General features: G+C 35.5%; 1 protein-coding gene across 1 annotated transcript in view; it reads left to right on the forward strand.

Moving 5' to 3' along the window:
• ZNF804B (zinc finger protein 804B) overlaps nucleotides 1-20239 on the forward strand; it is a 578829-nt gene that overhangs the window by 359540 nt on the left and 199050 nt on the right. The gene's annotated exons all lie outside the window — the stretch shown is intronic.

The raw sequence follows: 20239 nt of genomic DNA on the forward strand, positions 1-20239 counted from the left end.
TTGATGGCTTAGGCTCTATGACAGAAAAATTACAACAGAACATTTCAAAAGGTCAGTTACAGCCATCAGTATTTTTTAAAAATTAAATTAAAATTTGAAGCCAAGGGAAAGGAAGTATCATCACCTTCAAGATAAAAATGTTATTCCCTCTTATCTCTATTTGGCCAGTTTAGAAAGTTCAGGGAGACTTTCTTCACTAAACTACCTTTCCAGCAAAAAATAACCCTATGAAGTATGAGATATTGAAATATTAATTTGCTTTGCTTTTCTCCGTTCTTCCTCATAGTCAAAATAAATCAATAATTATAAAATTATTCACCCAAGGACTCTTGCCTCTGAGTCTGATATGCTTTTGTATGTCTTTTCTGTACTAAATTTACTGTTTCCTTTTATAAGTCAAAAGCATGTGTCTGGTCTAGGGAATTCAAGTGAAGAGAATTCAAAATTAGAATGAGGAACATAAAACATAGCACCTGGCTGTGCCCAGTTACTTAAATCAAGCAAGCTAATAACTCAGGTAGAACCAACTAGCCTTGTTTGATAATCCTGGCATGGAAAGTTACTAAGACATAAAAATCAATTAAAAATACATAATTAAAAAAATACGTGTTTTAAATGAGTTTCTATATTGTTTGTTTGTTTATCTAACATGCTCATATGGATAGCAAGGTTTATTCCCAAGTGGGTTGAGTTCCTTTGACTTGTGTAGCACCTTTTTTTATCTAAATATTTTTTTTTTTAATGGAGCAGACATAGAGTTACTAGAAAAATTCAGCTAATGCTCTTCACAGAAGAAGCACAGAAGAGATCTCACAAACAGAAAATCAGCCATCATAAAATGATACTGTCAGGGGCACCTTTATCACCTTTATCTATCCATTTAAAAATGAAGACTTAAAACTGAAGTCTACACACTTACCTGTAATCCCAGCTACTTGGTAGGCCGAGGCAGGAGAATTGCTTGCTTGAACCTAGGAGGCAGAGGTTGCAGTGAGCGGAGATCGCACCACTGCACTCCAGCCTGGGCAACCGAGCAAGAACTCCATCTAAAAAACAAAGAAAGAAAACCAAACCAAACCAAAACAAAACAAAGCAGAAAACACACTTACCAAAGATTTCTAAAAAATTAAAAATCTGGCCGGGTGCGGTGGCTCACGCGTGTAATCCCAACACTCTGAGAGGCCGAGGCGGGCAGATCACGAGGTCAGGACATCGAGACCATCCTGGCTAACATGGTGAAACCCCGTCTCTACTAAAAATACAAAAAAATTAGCCGGGCGTGGTGGTGGGTGCCTGTAGTCCCAGCTCCTCAGGAGGCTGAGGCAGGAGAATGGCGTGAACCCGGGAGGCGGAGCTTGCAGTGAGTGGAGATCGCGCCACTGCACTCCAGCCTGGGCGACAGAGCGAGACTCCGCCTCAAAAAAAAAAAAAAAAATTAAAAATCCAAAAATCTACTTTTAGTCGTCAGCACCTTATGTCCAATGAATTGGTTTTTAGTTTTATTGTTTTTAATTTCCATTTTGTTTGTGTGGCAGAAGATACTACTTTTTAATTACACTTCAAATAGTTTGCAAAAGAAAATAATAGTAGCAGTAATGATTATTATGTAAAAGTGGGCTTTTCAATAGAGGTAGACGTTCAAATATGTTAATGACCAACATGCTGAGACAGATACTTGAGAAGCTACATTGCTTTATCCAACAAAAATATAGCCACTATTTCTGTGACACCTACTGTCCAAGACATTTTGCATATATTAAACGACTTAGTCATCATAAAATGTGCTCCTTATTTCCATTTTGTAAGGATGATAAACGAAATCCAGAGAGGTTAACGAACTGCCTGAGAGGTAGACCAGGTGATTCCCCACCTGTGTCACACCCCACACCAGCAGGCTTTTTGCTCCTCAAGGCTTTATGACACATTGGTAGAGAGCTCATTGCTGTCTGGCTAGATCAACTATTTGCTTATTTGTTTAGGAGTCATGAAATCCTCTTTGACTTTCTATTGGGTTGGAACTATATATAAGACTAATGTATTTCCTACAATTTTACCTGGGAATAAATATATTCTATAAAGACTGTATGTGAGTTGTTAAGATGTCTCTAGTATGGTGAAATACCTAGCATATTTGACAGCTCATTTTTAACATTTTTCTCTATAATACAAAATTATTTTCATTAATAGCCATGGAATAAAATAAATGATAATAATGGCCATAAAAATAATACAAACAGTTAAAAAATTATTGAACTTTTATGTATAATCTGCCAGAAAAATACCTACAATAAATGATATAGTATGAAAAAGAAAGTAACATGTTAATACTTTTAAATTACATTAATGTATTGGACTAAACTAAGTATTAGTTATCATAGTAATGGATTAAAATATTGACATTTCTGTTTCTTGTTTTAGCTTCTGCAAATTTCTATACTTTTAATTAATAAAGAATCTAAAGATTTACCCAGAGGTATAGAATTAAAGTAAATCAAGCCCTTCCTTTATTTTGGTAATTGTGTTATTAGTGTTTATTTCTAATTTATCATTTAAATGCAGAACCAGGTGGTACCACAGAGGCACAAAATGCACAGAAAAAATCGGGACAAAATATTATGAACTTACCCTAAAGACAATTTTTGTGTAGCTGGGTCTGTGAGTGTTGGATATCAGCTGTGTAGGCAATAGTTATTTGAATTAACTTCCATGTACTATACAGTGTTTATTAGAAGATTAGTAAAAATGTGCTAATTTAAAATTTATGTGCCTATATATGTATATAAGTATATGTATATATTAATTATGCTATATGTTAAATTATGTGTAAAGTAATATATATATTAAACTACTTATTTATATAGTTAAAATACAATAGTAACCACAGCAGTTTTTTAGAACTGTCCTGTCTGATATGACAGCCATTGGCCACATGTAGCTACTTATACTAAACTTAAATTTGTCAATATTTAAAGAAACTCAAGAATATTAAAACTTACTTAAAGAAAATAAAATTTCAATTCTTCAGTCACATTAGCCATGTTTCACATGCTACATAGCTCATGTGGCTAGTAACTACTGTATATGACCTCATAGATACAGAACATTTCCATTACTGCAGAAAGTTGGTTGGGCTGCATTGATTTAGAATTTATATCGTCCAAAGATTTTCTTGATTAGAAATACTTTATTACTAACGTTGTTTAGAATTACCAGTGGGAGAAGATGAAAAATCAAACTGACTTTTAGTAGGTATTATTATTACATAACATTTGTCTACAGGCAGTGCAACCCTTATTCCTTTCAATGGGGGCCATCCATTCCCACCACCTTGTCCTGCGGTTGCTGTTGCTCCAGTGACCCATTAATGCTTCTATGGCTTTCACATTCTTGTAGACAACTGGTGCCTTGCCACTTAATCAGACCTTATGCAGAGTATTATTGGTGTGGTTTTGATGCCAAGTTGTTCTACTTCCTCAGAGGACACACCCCATCAATCATTCTCCATCTTTTCTCTCTTTACTGTCAATTCACCATGAATCGAAGCAAGCTGTGTCTTACCTTCATACAAATTTACATTATTGTGCCTTGGTTTATTTTCTCTGTCTAGTCAACTTTGAACCATTTTCATATCCTACTTTTCTGAAATTGAATTTTATGATTCTGTTTGCCTCCCAGTCATTCCTAGTTTCATTATAATCTGCCTTCCGCCTAATCTGTCCTGGCTATTGCCATCCCAATCTCTACAAGAACTCATCCCTGACCGAACCCTATGGACTGAGCCCTGACACCATGATCCCGTGGTGTCTATAAAACTTGTCACGGTATACTTGAAAGGTGGATTTGTTTGTCTCTTATGGGCAGGACAATGTAAACTCCTAGAATATGTAAGTAATTCTGAGCCCCAGGACCAAGTTCAGCTTTTTTTTTTTTTTAATGTAGAGATCACTAAGCAAATATTTGTAGAAGGAAGGGAAGAAGGGAGGGAATTTTGATATTATTTTGAATAACCTAGTTGTGAACTCAAGTAGGGGGCAAGAAGACAAGCAATTAAAATAAAGACCATGCATGTCTGCTATCCTCAAGACTATGGAGTCCTCAAGATGATATACTATGATGGCAAGCAAATTACTCTGCATTTGTGAAGATGCACCTCCTCCAATGATCAGATGTATTACAGATGCATCAGTGATACACTGTAAATCGATACCTTGAAATTGTCCATGGCTCTATTCATTTAATGTAAGAAGTATAATGAAGGGTTTGCTTTATGCTAAGCATTGTGCTAGAAACTGAGGATAGCAAGATGACTAAGACATTTCACCTGCCCTTAAGAGGTAAATTTATTTGTTAGGAACAAGACACAAATATTTAAAATAATTATGATGATAATGATAGTTAATGTTCATTTAGTTCTCCTAATTTTCCAGCACTAAATGCTTCTCATATATTTTACTATATAATTTACTTAACAGCATATAAGTATTAATGTTATTACCCTTTTATAGGTGAGGAAACTGAGACAGAGAGGATGAGTAAATTGCCAAAGATAATACAAGTAGTAATTGGTTTAGTTGGAATTGTATCCAGGTAGCCTGGAAACTTGGAATATTTGTAAGGATTTATAAGACTCCATGGAATATATTTATATAAGACTTTCATTTTAACCCAAATATACGATGTGGCAAGAGAAGGAGTGTACAGGCAAGCATGGGAAGTCTGAAACACAACAAAGTGCAAACTCCTCCCAGGTTCTTAGTCACACATGGATGGACTTTGCCTCCAGAAGGAACCACGTTGAATTGTGCCATAACTCTTGGCTCCAAGTGAACTCAAGGTAGAAGTTACCAGGAGGATATGTCATGTCCCTCTGGCTTCTGGTCAAGCTGGACTGTCTAACAGGTTATGCTGGGTGCAAAGCATCAGTAAACAAACTTGTACTGCAGTTAGCTAGGGAGTTCTGGACTTTAAACAGCACATCATAAATCCCACTATTCTTATCTTGAAAAAGATTCAAAGCCAGTCATCCAGGCATCTCCAGAAATAAGAAACAATAATTCTCAGTCTAGCTTTGTATTTACTCTATCCTACGCAGAAGAGCTAATCATGGTGATGGGGATACAAGGGAGAAAAGTTTGGGAAAAAGCATACTGATGATCCATGAGTGAAAGCATATACAAAACTGCAGAAACAAAGGCTGTTTTCCTAGTGCTCTGCTGGGACAAGGGGTGGACTTGAAATGACATTAATTACTCTAAGCCAGTAAATGTGTTCAGCACTTCAGGTATGTAATATTTATCCACATAACAACCCCATGAAATCAGTTTCCCTTCATTTATAACTGAGAACATTGAGGCTTAGTGAGAAGAAGTAATTCGTCAAAACTTAGATGAAGAGAAAATAGAGAAGCGCTATCACCCTGTCTCAAAAATAGGTGATTATGATTTTTGCAATGTTGTCTGCAGGTAAATGTGGAAAGAATTGAAGGGTTGTAGGTAAAGGTCAATAGAGACTTGTGGTTTTATTTATGGCCAAATGCAGTAGAGGATCTTGTTGGTGACTAATAGAATTTTTTTTTTCAGTTCTTGATAACTTTAAAGACCTTGATGAAAATATTGGGAGTAGTCTCAGGTCAGAAAGACTTGTTCTCATTCAAGAGTCCATCCTCTTTTTGTCTATCAGGAAATGCCAGGACTGGCTGGATAGCGTTATGTTTTTTATTGCTCTCATACCAATGTTTAGCATGTGATTGACCGTCACTCTCCTGAAGAAAAGGACTTTGGAGACAATTGTTGTTTTTTTTTTTTTTTAGTTTTATCAAGCTGTATTTAATTTTGGTGTGTCAATATGACAGATGTCAAGGAAACTTCTTGGCTTTTTTTCTTAATCTCTTCAGCTTAAGGGGGTGTCTGGCAGCCTGATTTTGGTGATGAGCTGGCTGTCACAGCTGTAAGTAGCGCCAAGGAGAATAGATAAAAAGATTTTTGAAACTTAAGGGTATATTGGTAGAATTATTGTGAACAGAAGCAGTCCATTTTCTGAAGTGGTTTCATGAATATACTCTATCATGAAGATATAGATATTGATATGAATGTATATATATTATATATCTATGTGTATATGTGAATATATGTAAAATGATCAAAATAATTTATGCCTGGACTAACTTTCAAACTTCTTATTTTTATTATTTTTCTTAATCTCATATCTCAAAGAAACCAATTTCTACCAATTCTTGCTTTCATTAAAAAAATTCTAACAGTCTTAGCCATAATTGATTACTATTGTCCATTCATAAGCATTCCATTAAAAAAGAAAGAAACCAGGCTGTGGGTTTTAATTTAAATTTTCTTAGCTTAACAAATAAAATTTAAAAATTGAGTAAATTGTTCTTCGAATGCTTAAAAAGTAAGTTTTTATTATTTCCAATGTAATGGGTGCTACTTCTTCCTTCAGTATCTTAGCGTGTTTGGTACAGAACAGAATGAGTTAACAACAGTAGCCTGTCTATGCCTCCTTTGTTCAAGTGACTGCAACTAACTGCAAATTTTAGAGGTCCATGTTGAAACTCCAATAATCTAAAATAATTTAAAATGAATAATACATAATATTTATGAAAAAATAAAATGCATTTTATGCCAGATATATATTTTAATGCATGTCGGCTACATGCTCAAGACTGTAGGGCACTCAAGAAGATACACTATGATGGCAAGCACATTACTCTGCCTGTGTCAAGGTTCCCCCTGATGATCAGATATATTACAGATGCATCAGTGATGTATTGTAAATCAATATCTTCAGATTGTCCATGGCAATTCAACTGATTTGAGTTTCTGGCAAAAAATGACTTGACTAACATATTGGTATTCTGGTTTCATGAAATGTTAATGGATTTTTTTTTTAAGAAAATGAATTTCTTGGAGGGAATTGAGTAACTTGACATTTCAGCTTTTTTAACATATTAGTGTACAATATGACAGTTTTCTTGATGAATATCAAAGAGAACAGTGCTGTATACTGGGTTTTCCCAATATATTTTTGGAATAAAGGTATTTCTCAAATCTCTCTTTAGGAGGAAATTCTTGATGGCTGAGTAAACCACAGCCATGGGAGAAATACTGAATTACACCGTCTTGAGACTACTGGGAAGTGAAGCTAACAATATTTTGGGTTAAAATCAATCTCCAATCAATACACAAAGAAATCCCCACACACATTGTGGAGTCTCTGCTTTATTAATAATCTCTACTGTCTTACAAATAATATACTTTGGAACTTCTTCATGACAAAAACTTAGAATGTCCATCAAGAGAATATCATTAATTATTGAAAAAGAAGTACCAGAATTTTACCTCTCATTATTAGAAATTTTTCTTCTGCTTTCTGCAGATTTTTGAATTATGGTATTTGTGTGTGTGTGTGTGGTGGCCCTTTTATTTTTGGAACACATAAGACTAATTCACATCCTTTTATAGATTCGGAGTACGGAGATTCTTTATTTATCAACCTTTTCTGAAACTAAGCTATTTCTCTTCTTTAAATTATACACTGTGTGATCCACATGAAGATTTGTAGGCCATAAAAGCATCATTAGTATACTGAGATGGTAACATGATAAATAGATCTCACACAGATAGATTTAACTTTTGCAACTCAGATCTCTCACAGGAAAATGGTACCTGCTCTGCCTACCTCACAGGGATGCCAGAAAACAAACATGAAAATAATGCAATATGTGTGAAAATCTTTTGTAAATTGCAAAGCAGCCTACAAAGACAAAGAACTTTAATAATGATAATGATCATGACTCCCAACTGTACCTGATCATTTCTGGAAAATAGAACAGCTTATAAGTTAGCCAAAGACAAACATCCTCTGGCTCAAATAGAGATTGTGTCAAAGAATATGTTTCCTTTAAAACATAATTCATTTTAGGAAAACACTAGAGGAGAAAAATAAATATCGATATTGATGTTCAAGATATTTCTAAAAATTCAGAAATCAGCTCTTTAAGAATCTATGAATACAAAAAGAATTGAGATGAGTAATCTTTGTTTGTTTGTTTTTGGTCTGTTTTTCAACTATTTTTCTTCTTATAACATTGGAAGAGCACAAATCCCAAAACGGTATTTTTTTGAACGTTATTGTGTTGTCCAAGGCAGAGTTATCTTAAGTGAAAAATCTCTGAAGCAGTAAAGAAAATATACTGAAAGTGCCTCAATGATCAGAATGTTTTCTTCTTGAGAAAGTTATATAGTACTTTTAAAAGTACAGGTCAGAGTATGTCTTTGCACTCAATTTTGATTTTTATATAAAATCCTAGATGTTTCTACCACAGCTGGATCTCTAAGGAAGTAGTTAAGAAAAGAAAAATGTAAGCGCAGATAACATATAGTTCTTTTTAGTCCCATAGGAAGCCATAGTGTCATGTTACTGAATAAAATATTTTGAGGTTCACACAATTCACATATAAATCTGTCTTAAATATAATTAATATATTTAATATTTTTCAAAATAAACATGACGGTATTAGGTTTGCCATTAAGTAATGGCAAAACAGCAATTACTTTTGCACCAACCTAATACTTTCTGATGATAAATTCAGACAATAAAAAAGGTAAAAGATTATTTAAAATCCATTTGTATCTGTAAGTATGTATAATTATTATTTTCATATAAAAACTTCAGGATTTTTTTCTACCATTTTTGATCAGTTTTACTTTAGAAAAATGAAATAATACTGTGCATAATCTTTTATAACTTGTTTGGCACTGAAGTACTTTTGTAGGTATTTTTGTGAACATCATAATTATGCAGCATAGTATTTAGTATGTATATCCAATTCTATTGTAATTAATAGTGTAATTTTTAATAAATTCCTTTTGGGCGTTTGAATGTTTTGATTTTTTTTAGTATAAAATCTAATTGGTGAACATTGTTAAACTAACATCTTTGTACTTTAGACAATTATTTATTTGGGTTAAAGTCCTAGACATGTAGTTGTTAAGCAATATTAAAATTGAACACATATAAAATTGTATACTTATTGCTGGATCTTCATTAATAAATTGTAGCAATTTCTCCCCAATGAAAGCTAGATTTAACCATTTCACAATGTATATATACTTTAAAACATAGTATTGTACACAATTAGTTATATAGAATTTTATGTGCCAATTTAAAATAAATACATTAATTTGAAAAGTATGTGAGAATGGCCTTTAGCCCATCCTTTTATCATTATGAAAGTGTTAACAAGAATGTTTTTTTCTTTCCCAGTCAGATGCAGAAAATGTGAAATCTCATTAGCTCAGTCTGCATTTATTTTATTAATAATGAGGTTGAACATCTTTTTATGTTTATCAGCCATTCTTTTGCTGTGTGTGAAATATGTTAATTTCTATTTTTTCTCTTTTTCATGTTAATTTGCTCATATTTTTCTAATGGATATTAACACATAACTAGTTTAACATATTTTCTCATCTCTCTGTTTTTTCTACTTCTCTGTGTAACTAAATCACTATCTTTGCATTTCATTAAAAATCAAATACTCTTTTTATTCTGTAAATGACAGGAATCCCTAAGGGAGTGAGAACCAGCTCTGTAAAAGAGACCCTGATACACGTAAAATGAGACCCTAGTTGTATCATGTCTGTGGCTAAGTGCCTCATGCCAAGGTGAAAGCATTCACGTTCATGTTTGGTTGAGTGTTTCTGAGAGTGTGGTCTTAGCCCTCCTTGCAGCAGAATTCATTGTGCTGACTGCTCCACAATAGATTCCTGTTCCCTCTGTATCCTTGTTATTTCCAGGGACAGGCCTAGAACCTGCATTTAATAATTAGGTATTTCTTATACCTGCTAAAGTTTGATAACCTGTAAGTTGAATAATTCTTGGGTATTAATCCCTAGATAAATTCAGGACATCATTTGAAGACTATTTTTTACGTTCAGTGCCCCCTCCTCCATGAATGGATCATTATGGAAAGAGATCCACCTTATATATTCAATACATTAAAACATTTAAGTAATTCAATAAAGTGATATTATTGTTTTGTTAGATGAGAATAATATATCATCATATTTCCCTTGTCAGTATGGCTTCCAGTAAGTCCAAAATTAAAATCAATGCTCAGTTTAAGAAATCTCATTGATTTACATTTCTTTAAACCACAAAGTACAACAAAACATTTGGGAAGCCAGGAAGAAATGAAAATAAATGTGCACTTCCCAAGCAACCTAACATAACAGGATATTAAAATGGGCTCCTCTCTTTCTAGCTGGACTAAGGCTTCCAAGATTGAGAACAATACAGTAGTTCTCAGAGTCTTAGATGAGTAATAGCTAACATTTTCAGTGCTCATTACATGCCAGGCACTCTGCTAAGACCTCTAAATTTATTAACCCCTCAAATGATTTGATGAGGTAGAATACTATTATTTACTATTATTTCCATTCACAAATTAGAATGTTAGGCATAGAGAGTTTCAGTAACTTCCTCATGGTTATTAAGCAGTCTGCTAGGAAAGCTGGGATTTAAACACAGGCCACTGGGCTCCAGAGCACGTGCTCTTAGCTACCAATCCATGCTGGATACTTTATATCCTGGGAGATTATAAAATTAGTGCCAGTGGCATTAGCCCATGAAGACAAAAATATATATTTGGGTGAGTAAGAAGATTCTTAAGGCTAATGATGAGGAATTCATTATTCAGAGAAGAATTATATTCCCTTTAATTTTTCATGGTAAAATTGTGTGTAGACTTCTCCTTCACCTTAAATAAGGAAGAAGTTTAAAGTGAACCTCTTGGAAACTGTAATATATATTCCCAGCTGTTGGAGGGTTATACAGAGATTAGTGTCAATTTTCACCAAGAGAAAATGAAACAGAAAAGACTACTGGAGTGGTTTTCCTGGCCACAGAGTGAAGAGGGAGGATCTGCATCCCAATTGAAAGGTGGCTGCGGGTCCCTTTATCTTGCAGGCTGTATGAGAGAGTTATGTTTGGAAGCTGACTGTGGCCCATTTGCCATCCTAAAAGGGACTTGCTCCTGGAGAATGGCTGAAACAGAAGTTACCCAGGAAAGGAGTAGGAAGCCAGCTTGGAAGAAAGCAGCTTTCTGAAGGAGACATTGACCATAGTAAGGGAATAGTTATATGGAAGATGACCTATAGGAAATGTTCCTTAGAAACCCCAGATGAACCCCAAGAAGGAACTAGAGAGGGGGCATCTGTCACATCTGCCTATGATGCAACTGACAACCACTCCAGCTCCATGAAACTTTGCTCATCTTCGTGAATCTTCTATTTCTCCTTGTTCTGACCCCTGAAGGTTAGAAATAGCATCATGAAGGATAAAAGGGGTGAAATGAATACGAGAGAAGACACATCTCCAAATACAGCATTACGAGACTGGGACTGGCCCATGCTGAGGAGAGGGGACGCCTTTAAAGAATACATTGAACATTTTTAATAAGAATGAATTTGATTCCTTCTTTTCATTTTAACTAGAAAACAAAATGACTATTTACTTTTTCAGAATGACAGGAATAACTAAGAAACATGAGGTGATTTTTATACCAAGGTAGAGAAGATCATCCCTACAAAGCGTCTAGGGGGTGTCTTATTACTAAAGAAACAATCATCTAAGCAGTCTTATCCCAATCTTCCTGTATTTTAGGAACTGAACGACCAAAGTTTATGAAATTCTTTTATTAGTTTTGTGTAAAACTGGAATATAGCTTATACTTTTGAAGAAGTGTTACATCAGCTACTTTTAAACTCACTCATTTCTATTTTCTGTATAGAAGCAGGGGAGCACATTTCATAAGTTGTCCCTTCTTCAGAATCTTGTCTGCCCTCCTTATAAAGGGAAGTTCATGTATCTGAGATCTTTGATTTGTGGGAACATAAAAATCAAATTGACTTTATGCAGCATTTTTATAGAGAATTATGTTTTTTGAAAGCCCAATATCAAAGTCTGCTTTGTTCTAATTTAAAAGATAATCAAAATATCTTCAACACTATGGGAAGTCTCCCAGTAAACATGGATTTATATTTAGCACAATTTATTTGAAAACCAGAAAGTCTGCCAAAGTGGTATAAACATTAACTTATTTTGATTTTAGAAGACAGATATTAGTGAGAAGTAATAAAATATTGCCAGCCTTCATAGGCAACTCATCATCACTGTTAAAACTAAATAAGAAGAAAAGACCCAGTTATGCCTAACATGGACCGATGTTGGTTGAAAGGTAGATAGACCCCATAACTGGCTAGCCACATTTGAAGGCTATAATCATAGAAGATGGGTGAAGGAAATGCACAACACCAAATTTGCAACATAGACTCATTTGACGAAGGGGAAAATATGGGACATTTTAAGGAAAATGTCAGAGGAAATTGCTTGATAGTATGAACTACTTATGTGTGATTCTTAAGAAAATTGTCTCCTTAGGAAATTGTGTTCTCAAAATGTCTTAAATAAAAATAGACATAACTGAATATTCTATATTGTGGTCAGACATTAGAAAACTTGTTTTTACCTGTCATAACTCCTCATTCTCCTGAGGAAGACTTAGGATTTGTCTGAGTTTGAGGGTTCTGGAGACGTACTCAACCTGTTTCCCATTCAAGCCTGATAACACGAATCTTAGGCTAAGACCCCATTAAAACCTAATTGGATAATTTTGTACATGAATAACTAAATGCAAATTCAAATGCAGATAGCATATATAAACTGCATAAAGGCAAGGTGATATTACCTATATGATTATTACATGCATATAACAATCTCCACTTATTCACTGAGAGTTTATTGAAATAAACTCAATACTGTTCTCTTCATGGGAAGGATAAGGAAGTCCTAGCTTTCAATGTGCTGAAAGGCCTGTAGGGAAAAGAAAATAACAGGAATGAGAACACACGCACACATACACACACACACACACACACACACACACACACACAGTTTGATGCAATGAGTAATTAAGTGCTACATTATAGAACACAAGACTATAGGTGTTCAGAAAAAAATAAATCAGTGAGAACTGGAATACTGCAGAGGAATTTTCTGAAAACAAAACAAAACAAAACAAAGACGCTATCTTGAAGTGTGCCTTGAAAAGTGAGTAAGTTATAGAAAACCAGACTGGAAGTGAGGAAATTTCAAGAAAGAGAAATAAAATCCCACAGGTCCAATGGAGGAAATGACAAGGAAACTGGACTAGGGAAGCAGCATAGCACAGTGGCTACAAACAGAGTCAGGAGCCAGATTTACCTGAGAGTCTCAGCTCCACTACCTACTGCTGTGACCTTAGGTATTATGTCATCATTCTGTACACACTTCCATTGTCAGTAAAATGGAGGTAAACTATCATATCAATTTTTTATGTGAGCAGTTTTGAGAATTAATGAGTTGATATATGTATAAACTTATGCTAGGACTCAGTACCTAGAAAGCATCCAACAATATTGTTATTATTGTTGTGCAATGGTAGAAGATGTAATTGTCATGGCTAGAATGAAGCCAAATTATGTAACAATAGCAAATGCCACTTGTTATAGACTAACTGAGCAATAGACCCTAGGCTCAATGCTTCGTGTACATTTTCTTCCTTATTCCCAACCACAGTGCTGAGAGGGAAACATCATTTCTCTCACTTTAGAGAGGAAGGGGCTGAGATTTCAAGAAGCAATTTTCTTAAGAATTCCACTGCTGGTAAAATACAGCCAAAGATTTGCAGTCAGATCTTTTGGCCTATGCACCAGTGTTTTTATCTGCTGCATTATAATGCCTTAACCTAAATCTAAGAGGGCTCTGAGATTTAGGCAGGGGGCGTGTATCTCAGACCGAAATTTACTGGATGGGTTTGAAGCAGAAAAGAGTTCATATTCTGGAAAACCAGCCAGGTGGCAGCTGGAGGCTGTTGGAATACTCTAGGAAGGGAGGTAAATGAGCTTCTTGTCTATTGGCAGTGCTGAGACCTGCAAAGGCAGAACCAGGATGCTAGATTGGTTCACCACAAATTTTTCACACTAATTTTCAAATAAAATTTACACTATTTTAGTCTGGGCCCTGAAGATGAGACTTCAGTTAAGTATGACTCTTGTTTGTAGAGCCCACCTGACTAAGGATATGGTTGCTTCTGAAAGGCCAACACTGAGAAAGCCTGCACAAGGGACCTAGGTTCCTTTCACATAAGGCCAGGGTTAAGAGAGTCTGGTGTTAGCCCATATACTTTTCACAGTGCTGGCTGGGTGCATCTACCATTGCCTTCATGAGACTGGTAATGAGCTTTCCTGTTACCTTGTATTGCATTTCACTTGCCCCATGGGAGCTCATGTTCACGTTCTCTGAGCTGTGTTCCATACAAAAGTCACTTAAGAAATAACAAAGTTGTCCTGGAAGACAGTGATTGCTCCTAATACAGTTGAGAATTCTATGCTTTGTAGCCTTAGACCCTTTACAAGCAAATAGTAGAAATAAACGTCATGGCTAATGCACTTCGGTAATATAAAAGGTTTCTACAAGGAAAATACTGCTAACAGTAAACTGTTTATATATAGAAAAGATAAATCATAATGGAGTGGTAATTTCAGTTTATTTTGTATCTCATTGTGTCTCTCCTTGGGGAACTCCAAGTGCTCTAAAGACACTATCTCATTACTATTTTGAGTACCTCTGAAAAATATGCAGAAAGCATTTTCTCCAATTTTTGTTTAAGGATCTAAGTCACGGAATTTATGCAGCTTTTCAGTGGATGAAAGTGGATTACTCCTTTTCACAGAGAGGATTGTTTCAGTGAATGGCTGATTGTCTGGTAAGATTAGTCACCCAATTTAAGAAAAACAAAAAAAGAACACTGTCCCCAACAAAAACAAATAAGCAAACAAAAAATACCCTGTTAATCTATTTCAATACATGTTTTGGCAACATTTTGTAGACTTGTTTGAACGTCATAAATACAGCCAGGAACAGAATGTGTTTTTCTGACTTTATCTGCTAAGTAACCAACCACATTGTTAGGTGAAAGTTGTTGATAAGTAAGATGAAATTTTTAAGAAAAAAATTAGGAGACTTGAGGTTTCCAGATAAATGTGTAAAACAGTGGGAATGGAGCTGCTTTTTTCTGTTTTCTGCTATCTCAGTGAGGCCAACCCTAATCAATGACATATCAACATCCCTAACAGAGCATAATCTCTGCATCCAGAAACAATGAATGAAGAATGGTAGATCACTTCCTTAGAGTTTCTAAGGAAATTGTAACAGAGCCTACTAACTCTTTCAGGCATGTGACTCCCTAAAGCACCTACCTCTTCATGCATAGCTGGAGGGTTTGATGTTGCTGCTTCTCTGCCCACCTTTCCCACAGCGTTCCTGCTTCCCCAATTTCCTGCCTTGACTCAGTTGAATAGATTCAGGAATTACTTAAGTTGCAGCATAGTTCTGGAAGATGCTAGTGCTTGTCTTCTTGGTTGATCCTTTTGGGTAAATTCTTTGTAGAACAACTTAACTCATCTTTATTACCAGATATAATAACCCATATTTTATTGCTCTTAATTTTATGTATAACCAAACATCCTGTTTTTTTTTTAACCGTCTTTCAAAGAGAAAATGTTTTTGAGCTACTATGTACTGTGAATGCTGATCTCTGGCTAATAATTAGGAAAGGTAATGTGCCTGTTATTTTTGGTCAGTTTTATTGCATTGACCTTACTCCTTTCAATAAATATTTCAGTGGTGGAAAAAGAGATATTTGAACCGTAAATTCTACATTAGTGTTTTGTTAAATCGTTCTACATAGGCACTAGTTTTCAGCTACAAAGTGATTAGAAAATATTCGTTGTATTTGGTCATTAATGAACTGTTTCAAAGCGAATCAAGACCAAGCTCAAGCATCCATCACCATTTCTTTTCCATGACTGACTTACAATAGAAATCTACAGATGTTAATCACCAAGATACTTTTCCTGATTTGTAAAACCTGAGAAAGTTGGGCATTCTCTTATGGCTGCTTTAATTTGCATATTTCCATATAGTGTAAAGCCTAACAGAAGCCAAGAAATTGCTTAATTATTTGCTGATCTTGAATACAGCCCAAATGTTGCTTGAAATGTCTATGCAATTGTCTTCTCTGCATGATCACCTACTAAGTCTGCTCCATGACTCCTCCTTCACATCTACTGATAGTCAGATTTTCTTCTGTTTGTATCAAGATTTCATGTGATTTATCACATTTTTTTACTTTAAAACATTATAATTGAGTAATATTTGTTTTAGCTTATGTAGCTATTTCCTATCACTTTACAAAGGTCTTTGTTAGGTTGTAAATTTTTTTAACTACACAAGCCATTAGATGTGTACATACTCTTACATCTTTCTTGTTCTTTCCATAAAACGTGTCCTATCTGATGCACAAGGATGATATTAAGGTGAAAGCTTTTTATCATCTAATTTTCATTTTACTTTCACAGTCAGACTGGATTTTCAATATATTTTTGTTATAAAAAACTATTACATATCTCTTGTCTACTTTAGGCATCATTCCACCTATTCCTGTATAACAGGAAATGCGAATAGGCCTCTCACTAGCTTAGATGATGTTCTATAAGAGAGAAGACAAGATCAGTTATTTTTATATTTCTAAACACATTTGAGACTGGTTAAAAGAATATAAAGCTATCTTTTGGCTTAATATTCTTTATTGATAGATCAGATAAAGTAGAAAACTGAGAAATAGCAAAAATTTATGTTTTTGAATTTCTTAACCTTCAAAAATATTTCAAAATTTATAAACTTTGAATTTATTTGTAGCTTGCTAACATCATGTCCTGAAAACTAACAATATAGCTGTAGATATAATGTTGATTATTAGAATTTATAAGATTTTTAGTATAACTTCAAATATTTTAAATATTCTTCTTTGCTTCCTATTGAAGAGAAAGCAAGCTCAGGCATGAGTATCTCTTTTAGTTGAAGATCTCTTGCCTGTTTGTGTTGTGTGCAGCCTAATTAATTCCATTGAAAAGAATACTTACCATATTCACTGTATTCAGGTAAGAATGCTATTTCTTTGTGTGTGTATTTTTTTGGGGGGGTCTCAATTTCTTTACTGTGATAAAATATGAATAATATAACATTTGTTACTTTAATAATTGTTGAATGTACAATTCAATGGCATTAAGTTCATTCACATTTTTGTGCATTTATCACTACTCTCTATGTCAAGAAATTTTTCATCTTTCTAAACTGAAACTCTGGATTCATAATACAATAATTCCCCTGCCACCTTTCCCCCAGCTTTTAATAAGCACTATTCTACTTTATCTGTATAACTTGATGATTCTAGGTGCTTCACATCAGTGGAATTCTACAAATCATACAATCATTTTGTATCTGGCTTATTTCACTTAGCATAATGTTTTCAAGGGTCATTTTTGTTGTAGGATGTATCAGAATTTTTTCTTTTTAAGGCTGAATTATATTTGTGTGTGTGTGAGTGTGTGTGTGTGTGTGTGTGTGTGTGTGCGCGCACGTGTGTGATGATTTGGCTATGTCCCCACCGATATCTCATCTTGAATTCCCACAAGTTGTAGGAGGCACTGGGTGGGAGGTAATTGAATAATTGGGGGAGGTCTTTCCTGTGCTGTTCTCATGATAGTGAGTAAGTCTCATGAGACATGATGGCTTTGTGAGGCAGAGCTTCCCTGCAAAAGCTCTCTTTTTTTTTGCCTGGTAACAACCACGTAAGAAATGACTTGCCCTTCCTTGCCTTCTACCATGATTGTGAGGCTTTCCCAGGCACATGGAACTATAAGTCCAATTAAACCTCTTTCTTTCTCAGGTATGTCTTTATCAGCAGCATGAAAACAGACTAATACAATAAATTGGTACCAGTAGAGTGGGGTGTTGTTGAAAAGATACACAAAAATATGGAAGATATTATGGAACTGGGTAACATGCAGGGGCTGGAACGGTTTGGAGTGCTCAGATGATGTTAAGGTGAAAGCTTTTTATTATGTAATTTTCATTTTACTTTCACAGTCAGACTTGATTTTCAATATATTTTTGTTATAAAAAAGTATTACATATCTCTGAAATTTGGAACTTCCTAGAGACTTGTGGAATGGCTTTGGCGAAAATTCTAATAGTTATATGAACAATAAGGTCCAGGCTGAGGTGGTCTCAGATGGAGATGAGGAATTTGTTGAGAACTGGAGTTAAAGGTGACTCTTGTTATGTTTTAGCAAAGAGACTGGCAGCATTTTGTCCCTGCCCTAGAGATCTGTGGAACTTTGAAATTTGGAGAGATGATTTAGGGTATCTGGTGGAAGAAATTTTTAAGCAGCAAAGCATTTAAGAGGTGACTTGGGTGCTGTTAAAGGCATTCAGTTTTAAAAGTTTTAAAAGGGTAACAGAGCATAAAAGTTTGGAAAATTTGCAGCCTGACAATGTGATAGAAAAGAAAATCCCATTTTCTGGTGAGAAATTTAAGCTGGCTGCAGAAATGAGCATAAATAATGAGAAGCCTAATGTTAATCACCAAGGCAATGGGGAAAATGCCTCCAGGGCATGTCAGAGGTCTTCAGACAAGGCAGCACCCCTCATCACACACCGAGAGGCCTAGTAGAAAAGCATGGTTTTATGGGTCAGACCATGAGTCCCCAAGCTGTATGCATTCTAGGGACTTGGTGCCCTGTGTCCAGGCTACTCTAGCCATGACTAAAAGGGCCAAGGTACAGCTCAGGCCATGGCTTCAGAGGGTGCAAGCCCGAGCCTTGGCAGCTTCTATGTGGTGTTGAGCCTTCAGGTGCACAGAAGTAAAAAATTGAGGTTTGGGAACCTCTGCTTAGATTTCAGAGGATGTATGGAAACACCTGGACATCCAGGCAGAAGTTTGCTGTAGGGGCAGGGCTTTCATGGAGAATCTCTGCTAGGGCAGTGCAGAAGGGAAATGTGGGATCAGAGCCCCCGCACACAGAGTCTTTACTGGGGCACTGCCTAGTGGAGCTGTGAGAAGAGGGCCATTGTCCTCCAGACCTCAGAATGGTAGATTCACCAACAGCTTGCACCGTGTGACCTCTTGCTTCAGCGTGACCTGGATGTGAGATACGGAGTCAAAGGAGATCATTTTGCAGCTTTACGATGTGACCGTTGTATCTAGGAAGTAACTTACTTGCTTTTTATTTACAGGCTCATAAGCAGAAGGGACTTGCCATGTCTCAGATGAGACTTTGTACTGTAGACTTTTGAGTTAATGCTGAAATGAGTTAAGACTTCGGGGGACTTTGGAGTTAATGGTGAAATGAGTTAAGACTTTGGGGGACTGTTGGGAAGGCATGATTGGTTTTAAAATGTGAGGACATGAGATTTGGGAGGGGCTAGAGATGAAATAATATGGTTTGGCTGTGCCCCCACCCAAATCTCATCTCCAGTTCCCACATGTTGTGGGAGGTACTGATGGGAGGTAATTGAATCATAGGGGGAGGTCTTTCCCGTGCTGTTCTTGTGATAGTGAATAAGTCTCATGAGATCTGATGGCTTTATAAGGCAGAGTTTCTCTGCACAAGCTCTCTTTTTTTGCCTGCTGCCATTCATGTGAGACATGACTTACTCTTCTTTATCTTCCACCATGATTGTGAGGCTTCCCCAGCCACATGGAACTATAAGTTTAATTAAATGTCTTTCTCTTGTAAATTGCCCAGTCTCTGGTATGTCTTTATTAGCAGCGTGAAAGTGGACTAATACTGTGTGTGTGTGTGTCTATATGTGTGCACGTGCACGCATGTGTGTGTATACAGGCATACCTCAGAGATATTGCAGGTTTTGCTCCAGACCACTACAATAAAGCAAATTTTGCAATACAGTGAGTCAAGGAATTTTTTTTTGTTCTCTCATGCATATAAAAGTTATGTTTACACTATGCTGTAGTCTATTCAATGTGCAATAGCATCATATCTGAAAACAATGTAAATATCTTTTGAATACTTTATTGCTTAAAATTGCTAATAATTATATCAGCATTCAGTAAGTCATAATCTTTTTGCTGGTTGCGGCTCTTGCCTTGATATTGATAGCTGCTCATTCATCAGGGTGGTGGGTGTTAAAGGTTGTGGTGGCTGTGTAAATTTCTTAAAATAAAACAATGATGATCTTTGTCACATCAGCTGACTCCTCCTTTCACAAAAGATTTCTCTGTAACCTGCAATGCTGTTTGATAGCATTTCATCCACAGCAGAAC

The sequence above is a fragment of the Homo sapiens genome, chromosome 7 (genome assembly GCF_000001405.40).
Source record: "Homo sapiens chromosome 7, GRCh38.p14 Primary Assembly".
Classification (NCBI taxonomy): domain Eukaryota; kingdom Metazoa; phylum Chordata; class Mammalia; order Primates; family Hominidae; genus Homo; species Homo sapiens.